The following is a 22412-nucleotide window of genomic DNA, read 5'->3' as shown; positions in this document are numbered from 1 at the left end:
TTTTTTCAATGCAGTTTCCTGTATTCTAAATTTCTTATTTAAAGGACTTAAAATGAATTATTTCCAGCATCTATATTAACTATACCTATACATATAAATATTATAAGCAATTAAACCGGTCTTTTGAGACTTTTTAATTTCTTTCCAAAACCATAAAAAATTTTCTTTGTTAAAGATAATTTTAGCAGATGAAGGCCTGACACAGCAACAGTAGATCTATTTAATAAGCTCTTGCTCTCTTGCCATCTATATATGAAAAATGTATTCATTTTCTATTAATGCACCATAAATTACCACAGAATTGGTGGCTTAAAACAATGTTAATTTATTGTCTTACAGTTTCTTTGTCTGAGCATGGTATAATTGGGTTTTCTCTTCAGGGTTTCACAGGGCTGCAATCAAGACTGCAGCCAAGTGTCAGTCACACTGTCATTCTGCTCTGAGGCTGTGTCTTCCTCCAAGCTCATTAATGTCATTGGCAGAATTCAGTTTCTTGTAGTTGTGGGACACTCCCTATTTTTTTTACTAAATGCTGGCCAGAGACCACGCTTGGCTCCTAGAGGTCACCCTGAGCTCCTCAGTTGTGTTTGTTTACTTCCAGGACAGCAGCAGCCACTCTTTCTGATTTTGAATCTCTGACATTTTATGTCTCTGACCTCTTGACTCAGATCTAAGAGCTCCTATGATTAGATCAGGCTCATTGGATAATCTTCTTATCTTAAAGTCAATTGAATTGGGATCGTAATTTGATGTGAAAAATCCATTCATAGTAGTATCTAGAATTTAATAACTGGGTAAAATGTGTGTATATCAGGAGGTTCCAACATATGAGAGCTGAGCTGACAATGAAGACATTCCATCTTTCAGGAAAGAGATTCAAATACCTTTAGCTCAGCTCTCATAATTTGGAAGCTAAATAACTCAAAAGGACCATATGTGTCTCCTCCTGCCTGCCCCCACTTTCTTCCCCTTGTCCTCTTCTCTCTTCTGTTGTCCTCTCCTCTCCTCTCCTCTCCTTTCTATCTCACTGAACATAAATCACTTAATTTCCTCCCCTACAGAAAAAACAAAATATGAACAAATAGCTGGAGGACAGGATGAGGAGGAAGAGTAAGATAATTAAAAAAAAAAAAAGTAATTCTAAAGAAAATGAGGAAGAATGAAATTGAGGAGTAGGTGTAGGAGGAAACACAAACAAACAATCAAACAAACAAACAGAAGCATGCAGCCAGGAGAGAGAAGAGAATTTGAGATAAAATTAGAAAAAGAGAAAGCATCATAGGAGAATCAACGAATGTGAAAAGCAAGGTAGAGAGGGCAAAGTTGAAAATAACAAAATGATGGCACTTGTGGCCATGGATTTGTAGTTGCTTTGAACAAAGCACTCTGCTTCTTTTTCCTAAATACTTTCCCAATGTGAGAAAGGCTGATGGCAGCGCATATTTGTGTATATATCTTGATCTTGTTAACAGTATTTCTCAACACTCACGTTGTTATGGTTGAGCTTCTGCTTTGAAGAGCCAGGCAAAGCAGATAATATTACACTTAATAAAAACATATGAAAGCCAAAAACATAACCACAAACAAAAGAAATCAAAAATAACCCAAGGAAGTCTTACAGTCTCTTAGCAACAAATTATTTGGACCAGGAAGTAGGAATGTATGTAGCTCAGTGTGGTTTTTTCTCTGTTTTCTTTTTCAGTATACCAACAAGAATGAAAATAACTTAACAGCAATTTTATAAATTCACATCCCCCAGAGCACCACAGAGTAAAGAAATACTGCATATGGGTAACAACTGGTTCTTAGTTACTAAATCTGAAAGATCAAATACAGTTAATTACATAAGGTAAGTTAAACTCAGATGTTTGGTAATACATATATATGGAGAGAGAGATGTGCGTGTGTGTATAAAATACACGAGTATATATGTGTGTAAAATGCAGTCAGTCCAGATGTATTCCAAATAACTATCCTTTAAGCCTGCCATCTGCATCTTGTTTTTTTTTTTTAGACGGAGTCTCACTCTATCGCCAGGCTGGAGTGCAGTGGCACGATCTTGGCTCACTGCAACCTCTGCCTCCCGAGTTCAAGTAATTCTCCTGCCTTAACCTCCCGAGTAGCTGGGACTGCAGGTGCATGCCACCATGCCCAGCTAATTTTTGTATTTTTATTAGAGATGGGTTTTCACCATGTTGGCCAGGACAGTCTCAATCTCTTGATCATCTGCATCTCTTTTAAGATAAATTATGAACTATTGCAGATATATTTTCATTTTAAGAAGGAGTAGATATATCCCAAATATAAGAGTGCATTTTGGCTTCTGAATTTTTGATATTCCTGAGCTTTTTAGGTTATTTGCTCCATAAAGGGAGGGTCTGAGCAGAGATTGAGAGTTCCTTGAAACCAGGTGTCAGTAGCAGACAAGAGGAGAATACATGCCTGGCTGCTCTTAATGTCCTCTTATAAGGGAACATGCTCCTAATGTCTTTTATAAATTAATATAAAGAATAACCTTTATCTTCAACAAGACACTGTCAACCACGAGGTGCTTCTGTTGACTCATTTTTATTGTCTTGTGGGAGTTTCTGAGAACACTGCAAGGAAACAAAAAGAATTGAGATGAAACACCTCTTTCCGTCTGCCAAAAAGCTTTAGGATATAGCAGAGGGATGATTCAGAATCCAACTTTCTTATTAATCTGATGCCTATTCTAATTAGAGGAATACTTGTTTGCACATTTATAAGACATCTCACATAAGAATGACGGGGAGTTTCTCTGAGAGTAATGGCAGAGATTTATTTGCGGGAGTGTGGGTAACAGCTGCCAAATACAATGGTAATGTCAAGATTAGTATAACATGAAAGACAGCCCCCAGTATTGACTTCCCCAGGCTGTGCGTCTACTTTTCCCTCTAGATTCTAGATCTGACTCCTTGCACACGAATTACCAGGCATGATTTTTCTCATCAAGTATTTTTTTTTTTTTTTTCAAAAATGCGGTGCTCCATTCAGCATGTCATTCAGTCTTAAGTGTTTGTAATAAAATTACCAGAAAGCAGAGATGCTTTGCAGCCACACATGTGGCTTTTGAAATAAAATTCAAAAAAGCCACCAATTTGTCAAATAGATAGGGGAAAATGCATCATATCATTTTGCAAATTATGACTACAAATATATTGAAGACAGTCTTGTCAAGCTGATGTGTTCCCTCTGTTACTTGAACTTTATCTTGGTTGAGGCTCAACTCTAATGAAGACAGGCATGGATGATTCTGGTTTGAAAAGGTCACAGTTGTACCAAAGTCTATATAAATAACTTTGTCCTATTATGTCTCTACCACACAGCTTCTCTTGAGTTTTTCTGGGGGAATATACCAGGAGACCATAATCAAGGTACCAGTTTATTGATGGCTGTCCTTAACAAATACAACTCTTCAAGAAAATAAAGTAATTTAATGCATAATAATGTTGAATGCGTAAGTAGGATCAAAATTAGCTATTTCTAAATTGTTTAAAAATCAGAATTTCATTTCAGAGTAAAAATTATTATAAAGATAAAGTAACAGTAATGCCATCACTATGGATCCTTAATCTACAGTTTGTGAATGTAAATTACTTGATCATGTTTCCAGACTAATTTTTGTAAAGAAAGGTTTTATGGGTGACATCTACATTTGTTACCATATCTTCATTTGACAAGGCAAGCTGGTAAATTCATAGGTATGGATTAAACTGATTCTTTCATTACATCTGGAATGCAAGAGTAAATAAATAATTTATTAAATTAATTGAGTTCTTTTATTCAGATGTTTCCAAGGTGATTATCGTGATACCTAAGTAATCAGACTCAATCTAAATAAATTAATTCAATAAAATATTGAATTGTGCCTTAATGGAATAATTTTATGAATACCATCAAGAATGAGTAGAAAATCTTCCAGAAATTTTAAAGAGCATCAGCAGGGGAAATGTGATCAATACAGGATGGCTGACTAGAATTTAGCAAGTAAAGGAAATTATTTTACCGGTTAGTTGAGGAGTGGTGATATTGCTCCCTAGTTTACTGAGAAATTCAAGGCTTTACAAATAAAAATACTCATCTTCCATCTTTTTTATTTCCAAAATCACTCCATAGCTTTTATCTCTCTTTTCCCTTTTACTATTTCTCAGAAAGAAATATTCTTTTTATGGAGGAATTATATTTATTGAAAAAAAAAATCAGTGTATAAGTGGACCTGCACAGTTCAAACCCAGGCCATTCAAGGGTCAACCATAATTCTCTCATTTAAAGTGCATTATTCAATGCTTTTCAGTATATTCACAAAATTGTGCAACCACCACCACAGTCAATTTTAGCACATTTTCACCTCCCCGCAAAATATTCTATACCCATTTAGTAGTCATTCTCCATTCCCCCCTCTCGCAGCCCCTGGCAGCCACTAATCTACTTTCTGTATCTATGGATTTATCTATTCTGCACAAGAAATATTTTAACCACTGTCAATCCTTCTGCTTATGCTCCAATCCTATGTAATGTTCTATATTCTCTAGGGCTTTGATTTATCAAGTAAGTTCTTTAAATTCCTCCAGCCTTACACATCTACTCAGATGTCATGTCCACAGATGAATAATTTTCCATAGTATTTCTCTTTCCCTTCTTCCCTGATTATAGCTAACATTATCTCTGCTACATTGCCTTACTTAATGTGACAATTTTCTGATGGGATTTCTTCATTCTCTATCTTTTATAAAGATTAGTAATAACCTCTACTTGCTTACCACTGCTTAACCTCTAAATCCCATGGGAAATGGTGACTTCTTCTGCCAAGAAAACTTTATGCATTACATGATCTCTAATCCCATTGAACAAAAATTCTTAACCCTACATTTATTTACCATTATCATCAAAGTCACCAATATCATGTCAGAAACCACAACTTCTATACTATATTTTACCAACTTTATAGATATGTACTCATTTAATTGTCAACAATTCAATGAAATAAGCATTTTATTTCCCACTGGTAAATGATGGAATGGCAACTCAAAGTTAGTTGCTCAGGGCCATCCTAACAGCCAAAAAAATGCAGCTTTCACAGTGGGTAGTGTAATGCATGATGTCTCCAGCTACTAGACTCTAAAATCCATCACCATGTGTGCACCAAGGTCACAATTTCCATGACTGCTCTTTGCCAATGACAGAGTGCAGCTGGGATACTAATGCAGGATCATCCTGGGAGATACAAGACTCCTCAGATGAATGACTTCGGCTCAAGGGCACCCTGTCAAGTTTGTTGAAACTTACTGGAGCTACACGGCTGTCTAAAACCTTCTTTCCCTCCTTCTCTTTCTCCTTCACAGGGGTTAGACTTACATTACGGTCTGACAACTTTCTCAACCTTCTCTGGCTCCCTCCCACTTTTTCTCATAGGCGTTTTCCCCAATCAATCTCTTGCACTTCCAATTACATCTTGTTATGTGCTTCTCAGAGGACTCAGACTAACATAGTCACACCACTACTTAAGAGGCTGGGCTAAAATTTGTACTGTAGACTATTTATTTCCAAAGCTGGTATACTCGACTACTAATGAGAATACGGTCGTCATCCACATTCCCAAGCTTTTCATCCAGCTTTACTCTACCTCACTCTATCCAAACTAGGCCACTCTCCATTTCCACTCCACTACCTTCCATTTTTCAGTGCCTTCTAATCTCCCTCTCAACATTTGAGTCACTCATGGAGGCTAAAATAAAATACTGCCTACCTTTTGAGCTATTTTTTAAACCGTTTGACCCAACTTGAACTCTTCCTTAACTGAATCTCTATTGGCGCTTCTTAGTTAAAGAAAGATTTTATAATATTGTGTTAAGTGTTGTCAACATATGTAAGTTAGTTACATTCTCATTTCTGCTATTGACTTCCTGTGTGACCTTAATAGTGGGACATTTTCATGGTTCACTGTGTTCAATCTCAGGGTTAGCAGATATAAATAGAACAATTTCCAAGTTAGAGAAATAATCTTCATAGTGTTGAAGTCTTATGAGACTTGAAATTATATAAATAGTTGTGTACTTTAGCATTTGTATCAAGATAATGGCTTTTATTCATCAGAATTTCTATAGCATCAATGAAATAACTTGCCAGATATTACTGTGAATTATGATTCCTAAGAATGTTTCTTTCTTTTCAGTGATATTTCGCTCTCTCCCCTCACCCTTCTCTTTCCCTATCCCTCTTTCTTCCTCACTCCCTCACTTCTTTTCTTCCTTCTCTTTCTCTTTCTCTATTTATGTCTCTTTCTTGGAAAAAGAAGAAATAATATAAAATGATTTGTTTCTATATTTAGTTAATAAGGGTATGGAGGATATAAGATTTCCTTGAAAGATAGTTAAAACTATAAGTTGATTCATCTAAAAGTTATTTAGAGTCTAGCATTAAGGATCTATAGCTGCTAACATCACACAAAAGAGAAATGATTAGACTTTACGTGTCTCTTGAAAAAGCATTCTGTCTTTGAAGTAATCTTGTCAAAAATAAATAAATAAAATGAAAGAGAAACTTGATTTTGAGGAAGGCTTTAGATCCAAATGCTAATTTTATGGAAATACAGATGACTGATGAACATGTCAAATGACACTACAGGGATGCAATCAGCAGTTAGGTTTTTTTTTTTTTTTCTCCTCTAACATTTAAATTGCAAGTGAGAAAACAAATTTACAGGGGATCCTTACAGAATAAAGACTTAAACATCTTATCAACCAATTGCGATGTAACCTTATTTGATCTTGATTCAAATAAGCAGCAAGAAAAATAAAATATATGAGATAATTGGGAATTTTAATACTAAGTAAATATTCAGTGACATTAAGGAGCTATTGTACATTTTTAAATAATCACTGTCATTGAGGTTATGTTTTGATATTGTTTAGGGCTACATACTAATATATTTTTTGGTCATGGACTCTGGGTACATGGTAGTTTATTGTGCTATTCTATTTTCTTTGTATGAATGTCCATAATAAACTGCCTGGAGCAATTAATATAAGATAAAGGGAAAGGCAGTGGCTGAGACGATAAGCCACAGAGACTAACCTCCTCTTATGCTGACTCCCTCAGACAGAATGTTTGATTCTGAAATGTGCCCTGTCAGTTCCCATAGCAGTGATGACATCTCACGTCCCAGAGAATAGTCATAAGTGCTAAAGCACAAGTGTTGGTTGATCAGACATAATGTATTATTAACTAAAAGTAAGGATTAGGATAGGCAAGAGATGTAGGCTACAGCTGTTTTTTTGCTCATTGTTTTAATACATCTTATTTCTTGATGGAAAATCAAAATTACTGTCAGAAAGTATTTTCATGAACGAAGAGCCAAAATAAAGATACTGGATGATTTTCTGAAATACTCTTATCAACAGTACGTGCCCACCTTAAAGATAAGGATAAACCTGCTGAGCAGACCAGGACACCTCCAAGCAGCCCATTCTGATAAATAAGGCCAGGATTATATTGAACAATATTTGCTGTTTGTCTTGTCTCTTGTGTTCCAGGCTCAAGGCAGACTATTTTTGTTATAAAATTGTCATGTGTTCAGATTCACAGGGCATAGCTTGCTCATCAGTGCATCTGCAACAGCATAATTCCTAACACATAATAGGTCTTTAATAAATATTTGTTGAACAAATGAACAAATAAACAAATTCACATTGATTTTACCTGATATTACATTAATTACATTTTAACTTAGTATCTTTCTGAGGAATTTTGGAATTTTAAATAGTGGGCCATTAACTAAATGCAGTAGTTAATTTCATTAGTTTTATATTAATGATCATTAACTTTCATGTCAAGGGGTGTAATTTCTGATTATATCTCCACACTCTGGGCTTGTATCCTATAAGGAGCGTACAGAATCACATAGTATAGAGGAAAGAGTTTGGATTAAATTCCAGCTCCAGGTAATCTTTACCATGGTGACCTATTTGCTCTTCCCCAACAGTGACAAGCTCTCTTTGTCTTCCGGGTCTTTGCTCATTCTGTTTCTTCTGGCCTAAATGTTCTTTTTCATTTTTGTTTTTTTGGCTGACCCTTACTTTTTCTTGAAGACTCAGCTCAAAGTATGCTTCCTCCAGGAACCCTTCCTTAAGCATCCATGGACTCAGTGACATAATGTTCCTCCCCTATACCAAAAGACACTCCCTGCCTAAGCATGCTACCCTAGAACATACTGAGCTACAGCACACTTATTCATTTGTGTCCACGCTAGCCCTGGTTGCTACTCCTACTCCATCTCATTCCAGAACACACACACACACACACACACACACACACACACACACGCACTCACTCACACACACTCCATAAAATATCTGAAAGTAGGGACTGTTTCTCTATTCTTTGTATCCTCAGTGCCTAAAATAGTGGCTGGTACACAACGGACTCTCAGTAAATATTCACAGTTGCAGACGAGGCTTGAAATTAAGTAATCAAATGAAGTCGTCATGAAACTTAATTCCCTATTTAAGTGGAAACATTGTCTCTCTTGTGAGATCAAACAAACATATACAATTGACCTTTAAAAGATGTGGGGATTGGGGCACTGACCCCCTGTGCGTTCAAAAATTTGCATAAAACTTTTAACTGCCCCCAAACTTAACTAGTAATAGCCTTTTATTGACCTGAAGCTTTACCAATAACATAAACAGTTAACACATATTTTGTATATCTATTATATATTGTATTATAACAATAAAGTAAGCTAGAGAAAAGAAAATGTTAAGAAAACCATAAGGAAGAGAAAATACATTTACAATGCTGTACTGTATTTATCCCTGGTGTAATTTTACACCATCTGTATACAAGACGAATTGTCAGTTTGATATGGTGGGCAACCACAGCTGCAGACCTCGATATAGCGTACATACCAAGGAATCCAACTTTTTCTTCTAATGTCATGACTTTTCTCTGCTTCTCGGGAGCGCTTTCAGCATCACCAGTGGCATTTCATACTGGTCCCATGGTGTTAATCCAGGTTTCTGGTATTGCACTAAACACGATGAAAAACAGGAGAGAACGGAGAGGGATCATGTTTTACCACAATATGCAATTTATGGGAGAGATGAAGCGCTCAGGTGGAGATGACTAGTGTCACGTGGTGTTTTAAGTGGATACTCACAACGCTGGAACTCACAGCAATAACAACAAGAGGTGACTACAAAATTATTACAGTAGTACACTATGGACTACAGTTAATTTTATGCAGTTATGATCTAATCTGCGTCTTTATGTTTGTTTACATTTCTGCCAACTGTGAATGGCACTATGTCCAGTCTGTGTTTGTGTGCATAGGTTTTGAGAAATTTTAACTTTTTACAAGAGATTTGTGTATATTTTATAATAGTAAATTATAAAATACACTAGTATCTACATATGTCTTATGCATTCATGACATACCTTTTTCTTAGTTTTTTCTGATATTTCTAGGCTAATTCACCTAGGAATTTCTTCAAATTGTCACAAATCACCAAAATTTTTTCCAATATATTTACTGAACAAAATCCTCATACACTGAACCTATGCAGTCCAAACCTATGTTGTTCAAGGGTCAACTGTATTTCAAAACACTGTTACTCCTATTGGTAATAAAAGGAGCGTCACCTTCACAACTAGTTTGACATCACATTGGCCTGGTATGATTTAAGGAGCATCAAGAGAATCCGGGCCTTCTGCCTGGAACTAACGTCCTGGCTGTGACACAATGTTTGAAATAAGTATAATTATTCACTCCTACGGTTTAGGTAATAAATGTTGCTGTTACAAAAATTTAGCTTGTAGAAGAAACCTATTAGATAATATCCCAGGAAGCATGACATTTCAGGAATGAATATAGGTCAGATAAATTTGGAGAGAGACGATGAATACCAGATACACAGAGAATGGTACCTTAGTAGTTAAAGAGTATCATCAGGACACACAGTTAATGAGGAATTCCTGAAATGTTGAAGGTACTGAAAATCAGCTCATCGATCTCGCCTAGTACCAGCACCGAATAGAACACACTTGCCTATGCTGCTGTCTAGAGATGCATAACAGGTCATTGGCAAATTTCCCCAAATTCAATCATGTACCGCTTTCCTGATTTTACTGTATCTGAGTATCACCTTGACTATTGTTTAATACTTACATTTAAATTAATTCACTTTTAAAAATTAAATGTCTATTATAATCTCAGTCTCAAAAATCATATCTGTAAAATCATGAGCTAAATATGCTATATTTTTGAATACACATTAAGATAAAAAAAACCACTGAAATAGTTAAATTTATCCCAAGTTGGGAAACACTTGTTTAGGACTCAAGAAATTCTTCTCCAAAATTAGATTGATTGAGTTTTAATTACTGAATATAAAATTTACTTGCAGTATATCCTTGGACAAATTATTTAAACGATCTCTGCTTCAATTATTTATCAGAAAAACAGGGCCAATAATAGTGCCTATATTTTAGAGTTCTGAGAATTAAATACAAGAATACCTATAAAGAATTTAGCACACTGTGTCTCGAGAATATAGCAGATATTCAGTAAAGGTTAATTCTTAAACGTATCTTAATCATCAATAATGATATCTCTCAAATGTTATATAGCCTTTTTCTCAAGGAACTTCAAATATATTGTTTTCATTGACATTACTTAATTTATACTTGAGACCTTGTAGCACTAGATGGTGTTATCTCCATTTTATTCAGCTGCAGTTTACTGATAACATAAACCAGCTAACCTATGGATTCCCACTATATCCTTATTAGAATGCTTCTCTGTTTAGGTTTTTCTATGTAATTGAGGTTGAGTTGCATCATTGTATAACCAAACATTTAAAGAATTGTTGTATAAATGTGTTAAACTATCCAAAGGAATAAAATAAATCATTAGAGTGATATACATTTAGAAAAGTTATTTTACAGAAAATCTGATCTTCATGGAGGCTATTAAACATAGATACATCAAAATAGATACATATGCATTTATGCATAGAAATGTGAGCTTTGGGGAAAAAAAGCATCTTGGGAAGAAAGAGAGTTCTCTTTCTGTGAATGTTCCTACAAGCCCAAAGGAAGATGATAGTTTAGATAAGCAATATGGACAAGACTTGCATAGCACTAAGAAAGAGGTATTACGCCAAATTACAGGGGAAATCAAGGATGCTGGGGACAGAAAGGGATTAAAAAATTACTCTAGCTTTTTTTAAAAAAGATTCCTTTTTGAAATTTTAAATCTTTAGTTTTATTTGTATTCGTTTCCGTTATTACTATCAGAAAAAAAAAATTAAGGCATGATCTGAGGTTAGAGTTGAATGAGTAAGAGCTACTATTCTAAAACTTAAAACTCTCCTAAGTCATAAAATTTTAATATCAGTGGCCCCAAATTTTAAATTTTCATTATTTATTTAGTCTAGTCTATTGAAGTTAGTCGCAACAGTAACATCTCTGGCCCTGTTGCTTGTACTTCACAGCTTCACTTAGCATTCCAGTTCTGATACATGTGGTTTGTGCTACTTTTCACCTATATATAAAATGAGCTAGCCTGTCATTTTAACTGTTTATCCCTAAGGGTGCTTTTGTTACTCAGTAAATACTACATAAAGATGAGGTTGAAGGTTTTCAAACATCTATCTATAGAAATAGCATAGGTTGGCTATTTGGATAAATGTGAAAGCTGAATTTTTATATTCTCTTTGAGTTTCTCTTAAGATGAAAAGGAAAATCTAGTTAAGCAGTTTTTCCACTCAGCCCTTGTCCTTTCTCATCTTTTTCTTACCTCTTATATCTTACCTGTTTTGACTTTAGTTTCTTCCCCCCTCACCTTGTTCTTTTTTGGATGTCCTGTGTTTGCATATGTTCCACACTGAATTCTTTACTATGATAGAAAATAAATTCTTTTAAAATTACCAGTTGTTCCAATAAAATTTTTTTACATTTCTTTATATGTAAACATCATGCAGTTTGTGGGGAAAATCTAATACAGGAAACTGGATGGAGTAAGTGTACTGAATAAGAACAAATAAAATATTAGGGTTCTTTAGTTTAGAAATACAAAGTTTAAACGACTTTCATTGTTTTCATTGATACTGATTGAGTGCCTTGTATATTTCAGATCCTCTATAGACTGTTGATGTATAGCCATGAGAAAAAAAAAAGAAAAATTTTTGCTCTCAATGAGCTTGCATTTAAGCATCTATAAAAGGTATGATAATATTTCTAGTCAGTTAGGTTTCAAGGGCTTGAAGCATATGTAATTGGGGAGGTGATTGTTTAAGGAAAAAAGGACACAAAATCATAAATGCAAAGCTGGATCTATAATTGAATGATTATTTAGAATTAGAAAAATCTCACAAAATTGCAAATGCGAAGAGATATGCTTGGTGGTGGACACACAGGCACCATCACACATTGTGATGAAGGGGAACATCTGAAATGTTTCTATAGCATTTAAGAGAGCCTTGGAAATGACTGAAGTGAGCCACCAGGTCCAAAGCAGGTTCAGATAGTGGATATGGTGCAACCTTGGACACCTAGGACAGCAACAATGGGTGCAAACATATGATGATAGGAACCAAGTGGGATGTTACCCTCAGAAGAGGCTGGTTGTGGATATAAGATGATTCTGAGTCCATATTCCTCTTGATGGCAGGATCATATGTAAACACTTCCAGAGAGCTTATCCTAGGAAAGTGCCAACTTAATAGAATAGTTGCCCAAATGATATTAAGTGATAAACTTGATATGACAGGGTTTACCTAAATTGGAAAGATTGATGTTGTAACTCTGGAAATGTCAGCTTTAGAGAAATAAAACATAGCTCTGCTCACCTACTTTGTGTAACGTTGTCACCCTGGAGACAGGATTATAGTAAATCTAATGAAGTTGAAATTTCACAGCCTCTCACTTGCTCAGGCTCCTTCCAAGGTTCTAAGAGGAGCTTTAGCAATGCTCATATGCTTTTTAAAAGAATTTGCAAAAGTAAGATATTTAACCACAAGTGATTCAGAAAACTGCCTCCGTTCACTCTGACTTTCATTACAGTACATTTCTCCTCTTGTCAGATAATTCAACTATGGGACAATTCAGTTAAGTGGAAATTGCCTTGTATACATATTTAGCTGGGGTTTAATGAGATACATATATATGTGGTTCACAGTCTCTTCCATGAAGAGTTAAGTTGTTGCTAGTCTCCAATGATGCCAAAATCAATTTCAGTGCTTTGATTTGAAGCACCTGAAAGTATTAATTTTAAGATATGTTTCTCTTCCATGAATTAAAAATATTTATGAGGCAACCCAATGGAATTTTTTTCCTTCTGTGTATTAAACTGCTTTCCCCAGGAGGCAATGGATGACACTGGAGCAATTAGCGTGATGTCTTAGGACTAAAAATGTGTCAAGAGAGGGGCAGAGCAAAATGGCCAAATGGAAGGCTCCACTGATCATGCCCCTGCAGAAACACCAAATTTAACAACTATTTACACAAAAGCACCTTTATAAGAACCAAAAACCAGGTGAAACTTCATAGTACCCGGTTTTAACTATCATTGAAAGCGACATGGAAGAGGGTAGGAAAGATGGTCTTGAATTGCTGATGCCACTGCTCCCCTATCCCCTGGCAGCAGCCGTGTGGCACAGAGAGAAAGTCTGTGTGGTTAAGAGCAGGCGGGAGAGCGCAGCGATTGTGACTTTGCCTTGAACTAAGTGCTGCCCTGTCACAACAGAAATCAAAACTGGGCTGAACTCAGCTGATGTCTGCCCACAGAGGGGGCATTAAGACCAGCCCTATCCAGAAGGAAACTGCCCACCACAGCAGTAGGAATTTGAGTTCTAGCAAGCCTTTCCACTGCAGGGTAAATGGCTGTGGGGCACTAAATAAACTTGAAAGGCAGTCTAGGCCACAAGGACTGCAACTCCTAGGCAAATCCTAGTGCCAAGCTGGACTCAGAGCCAGTGGACCTGGGGAGCATGTGACCTACTTAGTCACTAGCTGGAGTGGCTAACAGAGAGCTTGCACCACCCCTCCCACAAACACAGGTAGCACAGCTAGCACTTCCAAAAGAGATCCTTTCCTTTCATATGAGGAAAGGAGAGGGAAGAGTAAAGAGGACTTTGTCTTGCATCTTGGATACCAGCTCAGCCACAGTAGGATAGGGCACTAGGCAGAGACATGAGACCCCCATTCCATGTTCTAGCTCTGGATGACATTTCTAGACATACTCTGGGCCAGAAAGAAACCTGCTGCCTTTAAGGGGAGGACCCAGTCATGGCAGGATTCATTACCTGCTGACAAAAGTGCCTTTGAGCCTTGAATAAAGAGCAATAATAATCAGGTGTATGGCATGGGACTTGGGTGAGACTCTGAGATGTACTGGCTTCAGGTGAGATCCAGCACATTCCCAGCTGTGGGAACTAGCATGAGAGACTCTTCATTCAGCTTGAGAGAAAAAAGTAAAGACTTTGTCTTGCACTTTAGATACCAGCTCAGATGCAGAGGGGAGGGGAACGGGGGAGAGGTGTGGGTAAAACACCAAGGAAGATCTTGGGGTTATGGAATCCTTGGTTCTTAGACAGGATTTCTTGACCTGCCCTGGACCAAAGGAGAGCCCACTATCCTGCCCACTTTCATCTCTGTTATTCAAAATAGTACTGTAAGTTCTCGCTAGAGCAATCAGGCAAGAATGGTAAATAGAGGGCATTCGAATTGGAAACAAAGAAGTCAAAATATCCTTGTTTGGACATAATATAATCTTATATTCTGAAAAGCCTAAAGATTCCACCAAAAGCTATTAGAACTGATACAAAAATTCAGGAAAGTTTCAGGATATAAAATCAACATAGAAAAATCAATAGCCAATAATGAACAGCATGAAGAAGAAATCAAGAAATGCCATTTACAATAGCTACAAATAAAATAAAATACCTAGGAATTACCATAAACAAGGAAGTAAAAGATCTCTACAATTAAAGCTATAGAAAACACTGATGCAAGAAATTGAAGAAGACATAAAAATGGAAAGATATTCCATGTTTATGAATTGGAAAACTCAATGTTGTTAAAATATCCATACTACCCAAAGGAATCTACAAATTTATTGCAATCCCTATCAAAATATTCATGACCTTCTTCACAGACACATAAAAACTATTATACAATTTATATGGAACCACAAAAGACTCAGAATAGCCAAAGATATCCTAAGCAAAAGAACAAAACTGGAGCAATTACATCAAATGACTTCAAATTATACTCCAGAGCTATCAAAACAAGAACAGCATGGTACCGGCATAAAAACAGACACAAAGACCAACAGAACAGAATGCAGAACCCAGAAATAAATCCATACATCCACAGTGAACTCATTTTTGACAAGGGTGCCAAGAACATACATTGGGGAAAGAGCAGTTTCTTCAATAAATGGTGCTAGGATATCTGAATATTCATATGCAGAAGAATAAAACTGGATCTCTACCTCTCACCATACACAAAAGTTAACTCAAGATGGATTAAAGACTTAAATATAATACCTTAAACTATGAAACTGCTAAAAGAAAACATTGGGGAAACTCTCCAGGTCATTGGTCTTGACAAAGATTTCTTGATTGACACCCCATAAGCATAGGCAACCAAAGCAAAAATGGAAAAATGGGATCACATCAAGTTAAAAAGCTTCTTGCATAGAAAAGGAATCAATCAAAAAAGAGACAACTCACAGAATGGGAGAAAACATTTGCAAACTATTCATCTGACAAAGAATCAATAACCAGAATATATAAAAGCTCAAACCACTCTGTAGAAAAATTATGTAATAATCTGATTCTAAAATTATCTAAATTAGACATTTCTCTAAAGAAGACATACAAGTGGCAAACAGGTATATGAAAAGATGCTCGACACCATTGATCATCAGAGAAATGCAAATAAAAACCACATTGAGATATGATCTCATTCTAGTTAAAATGGCTTTTATTCAAAAGCTAGTCAATAACAAATGCTGGTGAGGATGTGGAGAAAAAGAGAAGCCTCATACACTGTTGGTGGAAATGTAAATTAGTACAGCCACTATGGAGAACAGTTTCAAGATTCCTCAAAAAAACTCTATGATCCAGCAATCCCATTCCTAGGTATACACCCAAAAGAACAGAGAGCAGTATATCAAAGAGATATCCACACTCCCATGTTTATTGCAACATTATTCATAAAAGCCAAGATTTGGAAGCAACCTAAGTGTCTATCAACAGATAAATGGGTAAAGAAAATATAGTACATATACACAATGGAGTACTATTCAGCCATGAAAAAGAATGAGATCCTGTTATTTGCAACAACGTGGATGGAACTGGAGGCCATTCTATTAAGTAAAATAAGCTAGGCAGAGAAAGACAAACTTCACATGTTCTCACTTATTTGTGAGAGCTAAAAATTAAAACAACTGAACTCATGGAGATAGAGAGTAGAATGATGGTTACCAGATGCTGGAAAGGGTAGTGGAGGGGTGCAATGGTGGGAAAGTGGGGACGGTTAATGAATACAAAATTATAGTTAGAAAGACTAAATAAGACTTAGCATTTACCAGTATGACAGGGTGACTATAGTCAAAAATAATTTAATTGTGCATTTGAACATAACTGAAAGAATAATTGGATTGTTTTTAACACAAAGGATCAATGCTTGACGTGATAAATACTTGATACCTTATTTACCCTGATGTGATTATTACACATTACATGCCTATATTACATAACCCATAAATATATATGCCTACTATGTACTTACAAAAATTAAAAATTAAAAAATTAAAAAGTGTGTATATGAAAGTATCTCTATTTAAATGTTCCAATTATTATTATCCTGCTATGACTAAAAGTGACAAAGATGAGTAACTTTATCAAAGATCAATATATTGAACATTGCAACAGAAAATACCTTTAAAAATATCGGAACAAAGAGAAACAGTTGTGATACATTTTAAAAGTATAAGTTGAAATACTACTTTAAATAGATAACTCTGAAAAGTCTTTTTTTAGTAGAAATTAAAGTAGTTTTGTTCTGATGATAAAAGTACTTCATATTAATTTTTTAAATACTATATGATATGTTAAAAAAAACTAATCATGATACTACCACCCAAAGACAATGCTAATATTTAAACTATTATCCAAAACTTGAAGAATTGCTTGCTTATTCCCAGAGCTAATATTGGCAGAAAATAAAAATAAATGAACATTTTCTCACAAGAGTTAATAAATTAAAACAATGAATCTATAAATGGAAGATGGAATATATTTCACCATATGTACTAGTCCATTCTCATGCGCCAATGAAAAAATACCCAAGACTGTGTAATTTATAAAGAAAAGACATTTCATTGACTCACAGTTCTGCATGGCTGGGGAGGCCTCAGGAAACTTACATTCATGGCAGAAAAGACCTCTTCGCGGGGTGGCAGGAGAGAGAATTAATGCAGAGCGAAGGGGGAAGGCCCTTATAAAACCGTCAGATCTCCTGAGAATGAACTCACTATCACAAGAACAGCATGGGGGAAAATGCCCCCATGATTCAATTATCTTCTCCTGGTCCCACCCTTGACACATGGGGATTATTACAATTCAAGATGAGATTTAGGTGGGGACACAGAGCCAAGCCATATCACCATAGGAATAACAATGTTGACTTCCTGTTACACATTCCTTAGACTTCTGTGGACAATGTCGTCTTGAGTTGACCCATGGATAGCATAAAACAGTTAAGCAGCAAACCTCACCTGAGTATGATCAAAGAGATTGATTAAAGCTATCAGAGAGATGAATTGTGCATGGAAATGGGGGATTTTTGTTTCACTACTTTAGGTGTAAGTTGCCCTAAACTCCAGAGTAGTCTATAAAACTCTTCTACTGTGTCGGGAAAAGATAAAATAAGAAAGAGAAATTGGGGCAGTACAATGAAACAGGAAAGGAAAAATTCTAGAAAATCTCTGTCCACTATCTTAGGCACTTTGGAAAGTATATTTTGTAGAACAAATATTTTCATGTTTCAGCATTACACAAATCTCTAGAGAAATAGCAAATTAGTAAAGATAATAAATTGAGTTTTAGCGGTAGAGTTGATGACAACTCTGAACTTAAAGTCTGACTTTTGAACAGTTGCAAAAAGCATTATTGAAAAAATATTTTTCATACATTTGTATAAAAGCTTAGAAGCACAAATTTGCCTGTTCCACAGTGTACTCCAACATAACACATGGGATAGCAAACCAAGTCTTGCCATGATAACAGTGAAAAAGTCTCAGCAAAGCAGTGCAGTTATAGCTCCTTCAGCTTTAACCAGTTATGTATGTTAATACTTCCTTCTGTAAAACTAAAATCAGTACCACACACTATGAGACATTTATAGGACAAGCAAGGTATAATAAATGCATAATATTATAGACAAAGTAAACATGAGAGAAAGTCAGGGAGGAACAAGTAGGTGTGACCTGAGGCTTTTGTGGAAAACATATGAGTGAGTGTTATTTGAAAAGGACCTGTGGGTTGGACAACGTTAATAACTAGGAAGAGTTTAAGAGGACTTTTCAAAACTGAAACAGCAAAAATTAAATTGTACCAATGAGCACATTGCTTAGAGTGGATGGTGAGAAAACAGACCTTGGGCAAACAAAAGATACATGATGACAGATAAGGGGGAAAAGTGGGTAGAAGGTAAGTCAAATAATTTTGCATATTATAAAAAGTATCAGTATTGGGAGTAATGGGGTCAGAGTATATTCTTAGACCTGATTCTAACCTCTGGTTGATTTGAGACAAATCTCTTGTCTGCATCTCATTTCCTTTCTCTGTAAAATGAGGTTATACATGGCTATTCTCTTTTAAAATGTGCTTTAAATAAAAAATAACTAAAATGTATTAAATGCTTACTCTGTGAGCAGAGCCCTGCTTTGTAAGCATCCATTTGATACTTGCAACTTTATGAGATAGACTATGTCATTATTCCCATTTTAGAGATACAAAATTGATGATCAAAAACATTATTCAAACATTTTATAACTAGCTGACTGGGAAAAATGTGATGACAGGAGAACATTTTAAGGTAAATGAGTCAGGCAACCATGAATAGGAAATAGTGCCTAGTGAGGGGGATTTCAAGTGGAAGCAAATCACTTAAGAACACAGTCTGAAAATCAACATATCTATTGATGAGGGTGCCCCCAGTTTTTCTCTGTATAGTGGGAACATAAAAGAATGAAGCAGCCTAAGAGACATTTCAATGAGTTTTATTAAAAATGGTTGTATAGGAATATTTAAAATAAGAATTTGATTTTGGAGACCAGTAAGGCACAGTTGAATTTTATAGTTAACTCCAACATTTACTATCTGGATCCTGAACAAGATGCCTTGAACCTTAGTTCACCTATAAAATAAGAGTCATGATACCTACAATGCCGGGTAGTTTGAAGAGTGAAATTAAAGACTATACAGAATGCCAGTATTGTCTCTGGCATATCTTAATTGATAGCTGTTACCATCATGCTGATGGTGGGTTTGGAATTTTCATCAAAGCACCTTATAAGCTGAGGTAAGAATGATATCCTTTATTAGGTATAGTATTAAAAATAAATCTTAACTGAGCACATACTATAAGGAGTCCATTACTATTAGAAAATGCAAAGTAGTATGTGATGCCGACCCCTTATATTAATATTTTACAGTCCACCAGGAACACTAAGAAAAGTGTATAAAGAGAAAACAAAAATTCAAATCAGCATATGATAAATGCAATAAGAGAAGTATGGGTACATTGAGAGCAGAGAAATGAAAGACCTAATTTTTGGTTACGAGCTGAGGAGCATAAAAGCCATGATCTGGCTTTTGGAAAATGGGTAAAATTTCAAAATACAAAGATGAGATCTTACCAGGCATAGGGACTGGAGGGAACAAGGGAACATTAATGAGGTAATGACAATACTCTGGTTGAAGTGGAAAGTACATACAGCAAGAATAATAAAAGTAAAGTTATACATAGTTAGCCAATGGTTTTGAATGATAGGCCAGCATTCTTATCCTTCAAGAAGCAGGGAAAGAGGCACCTTTAAGAAACAAAACAAAACAGAATGACATAAAAAGTTGGTGACATAGGAAGATTAATATAGAGTAAAAATAAATTGGAAGTATGGCAGTGGGGCAGGCTAGTGCAATAACTGATGAAGTCAAGATAAAAAATATAACTTCTTTAGCCATAAGCTTTCATACAAAGATCCTTTATTGGGGAAAATTTATCCCTCATAATGTGTTCCCTTTAAATACTGATCTGTTTTTCTCCTTTAAGACCCAGAGTGCAGGAGGGATAACTGATATCAAAATTCCAAGGAAAGGATGAAAAAAGTAGGAAGAAAACCCCAAGAGTCAGGTGGGAAGATAGGTGCATATTGATTTGTGTTAATAGTATTTAAGAATTGTTTTTGGGCCGGGTGCAGTGGCTCACGCCTGTAATCCCAACACTTTGGGAGGCCGAGGCAGGCGGATCACCAGAGGTCACGAAGTTTGAAACCAGCCTGGCCAACATGGTGAAACCCCATCTCTACTAAAAATAAGTACAAAATTAGCTGGGCATGGTGGTGGGCACCTGTAATCCCAGCTACTCAGGAGGCTGAGGCAGGAGAATTGCCTGAACCCCGGAGGAGGAGGTTGTGGTGAGCCAAGATTGTGCCACTGCACTCCAGCCTGGGCAACAAGAGCGAGACTCCGTCTAAAAAAAAAAAAAAAAAAAAAAAAGAAAGAAAAAAAGGAATTGTTTTTGGAAGCTATTAAGCCCGGGAATGTCCTGTATTGGTCTGAAACCACATTATCATAATTAGAGGAGAGAAAGAAGGAAAATAGGGGCATTATAACATAGCTGTTCTCAGAAATCCTGGGCTCAAGTTACATCTTACATTAGTTCTATAATACCAGGCACGCTGCATAACCTCTGTATGCCTCAATGTTCTTATCTATAAAATGGTTACTTCATAAGGATATTGTGGCAACCAAATGACAACATGCATGAATCAACTAAAAAAAAATCTACCACACAGTAAATAGTGAATGATACCTAGCTTCTGTTGTCCTCTGTATCAATTATTTTTAGGTAGAATCCTTTGCAATATTTCAAATATGTGTTAATGAACACTTAGACCAGAATACTTAGCAGTGGAACTAAGAAAGTAGAGAAATAAAAGCATATTTTTGTAAAAAAAACAAAAAAATGATGGGGAGATTAACAAGATATTGTGGAATAAATGAAATAAAAAATAATAGCCTTTGATCTCATAGAAGTAAGAAGACCATAATGCTGGTTTTGAAATCTACCAATCCTAAAATCATATATTAATATAATAAAAACCTGTGATTGAGATAAGTATTTGGGACTTGAGCCAAAGATAGGGAGTCACCGTAAAAAGTCATTGTGGGATGCAAAAGGGCCAGTTTATTGTGGAAAAACAAATAGAGATAACTCCAGAGGGTAGAAGAGATACTTGAGCAACACACAGTGTAGAGAATATACTAAGAAAAAGAAAAAGAAGATGGAGCCAGAATATGCAATAGAAACCAAAAATATGTTGTTTCAAAAATCAAGTAGAAAAATAAGATCTCCACGTTGAGGGGTTTAACACTGTTCGTTGCTCCAAGTTCAGCAAAAATGGGAATTGAAGTAAAAACAAATAATGTGAATTGGAAATTACAAGCTAAGGATGTCCCTTAAATATACAATATTGTTAGAGGCACGTGAAAGGAAGTTAATATAGAGTAATATGTGCCAATGGACAACAAGGAAATGAATTTCCAGTCATCTTTGCAAAAGCAAAGTGGGTAGAATCTAGATTTGATAGTGATTCTTAAGACACCTTGTATAATATTCTGGCAAAAAATAATGAAAAATAATTAGGCCAGTATGTTGTTGATTGGATATCATGAATTGGTAGTGGTCAAGATCCACATGATTCTCCATTTTGCATGCTTGGCTGATATGGTTTGGCTGCGTCCCCACCCAAATTTCATCCTGAATTCACACATGTTGTGGAAGGGACCCAGTGAGAGGTAATAGAATCATGGGGGCAAATCTTTCCCGTGCTGTCCTTGGGAGAGTGGATAAGTCTCACAAGATCTGATGGTTTTAAAATGAGGAGTTCCGCTGCACAAGCTCTCTCTCTATGCCTGCTGCCATTCATGTTTGCCTTCTGCCATGATTGTGAGGCTTCCCTAGCCACGTGGAACTGTAAGTCCATTAAATGCTTTTTCCTGTACAAATTACCCAGTCTTGAGTGTGCCTTTATCAGCAGCGTGAAAACAGACTAATGCACTGGCCAATACAAGACAGCCAATTCAAGGTTCAGAGTG

At 35.9% G+C, this 22412-nt stretch overlaps 1 long non-coding RNA gene across 1 annotated transcript in view; it reads left to right on the top strand.

Annotated features, from left to right (window-relative positions):
* LOC101929485 (uncharacterized) overlaps window positions 1-22412 on the top strand; it is a 254397-nt gene that overhangs the window by 205768 nt on the left and 26217 nt on the right. The window contains exons 8-12 of the long non-coding RNA XR_007095992.1: window positions 1703-1849; window positions 3348-3478; window positions 8982-9210; window positions 12155-12244; window positions 20365-20445. This is a non-coding gene — a long non-coding RNA (uncharacterized LOC101929485). The remainder of the gene's footprint in view (window positions 1-1702; window positions 1850-3347; window positions 3479-8981; window positions 9211-12154; window positions 12245-20364; window positions 20446-22412) is intronic.

The sequence above is a fragment of the Homo sapiens genome, chromosome 3 (genome assembly GCF_000001405.40).
Source record: "Homo sapiens chromosome 3, GRCh38.p14 Primary Assembly".
Classification (NCBI taxonomy): Eukaryota; Metazoa; Chordata; class Mammalia; order Primates; family Hominidae; genus Homo; species Homo sapiens.
This window is presented reverse-complemented; position numbering and strand designations above follow the sequence as displayed.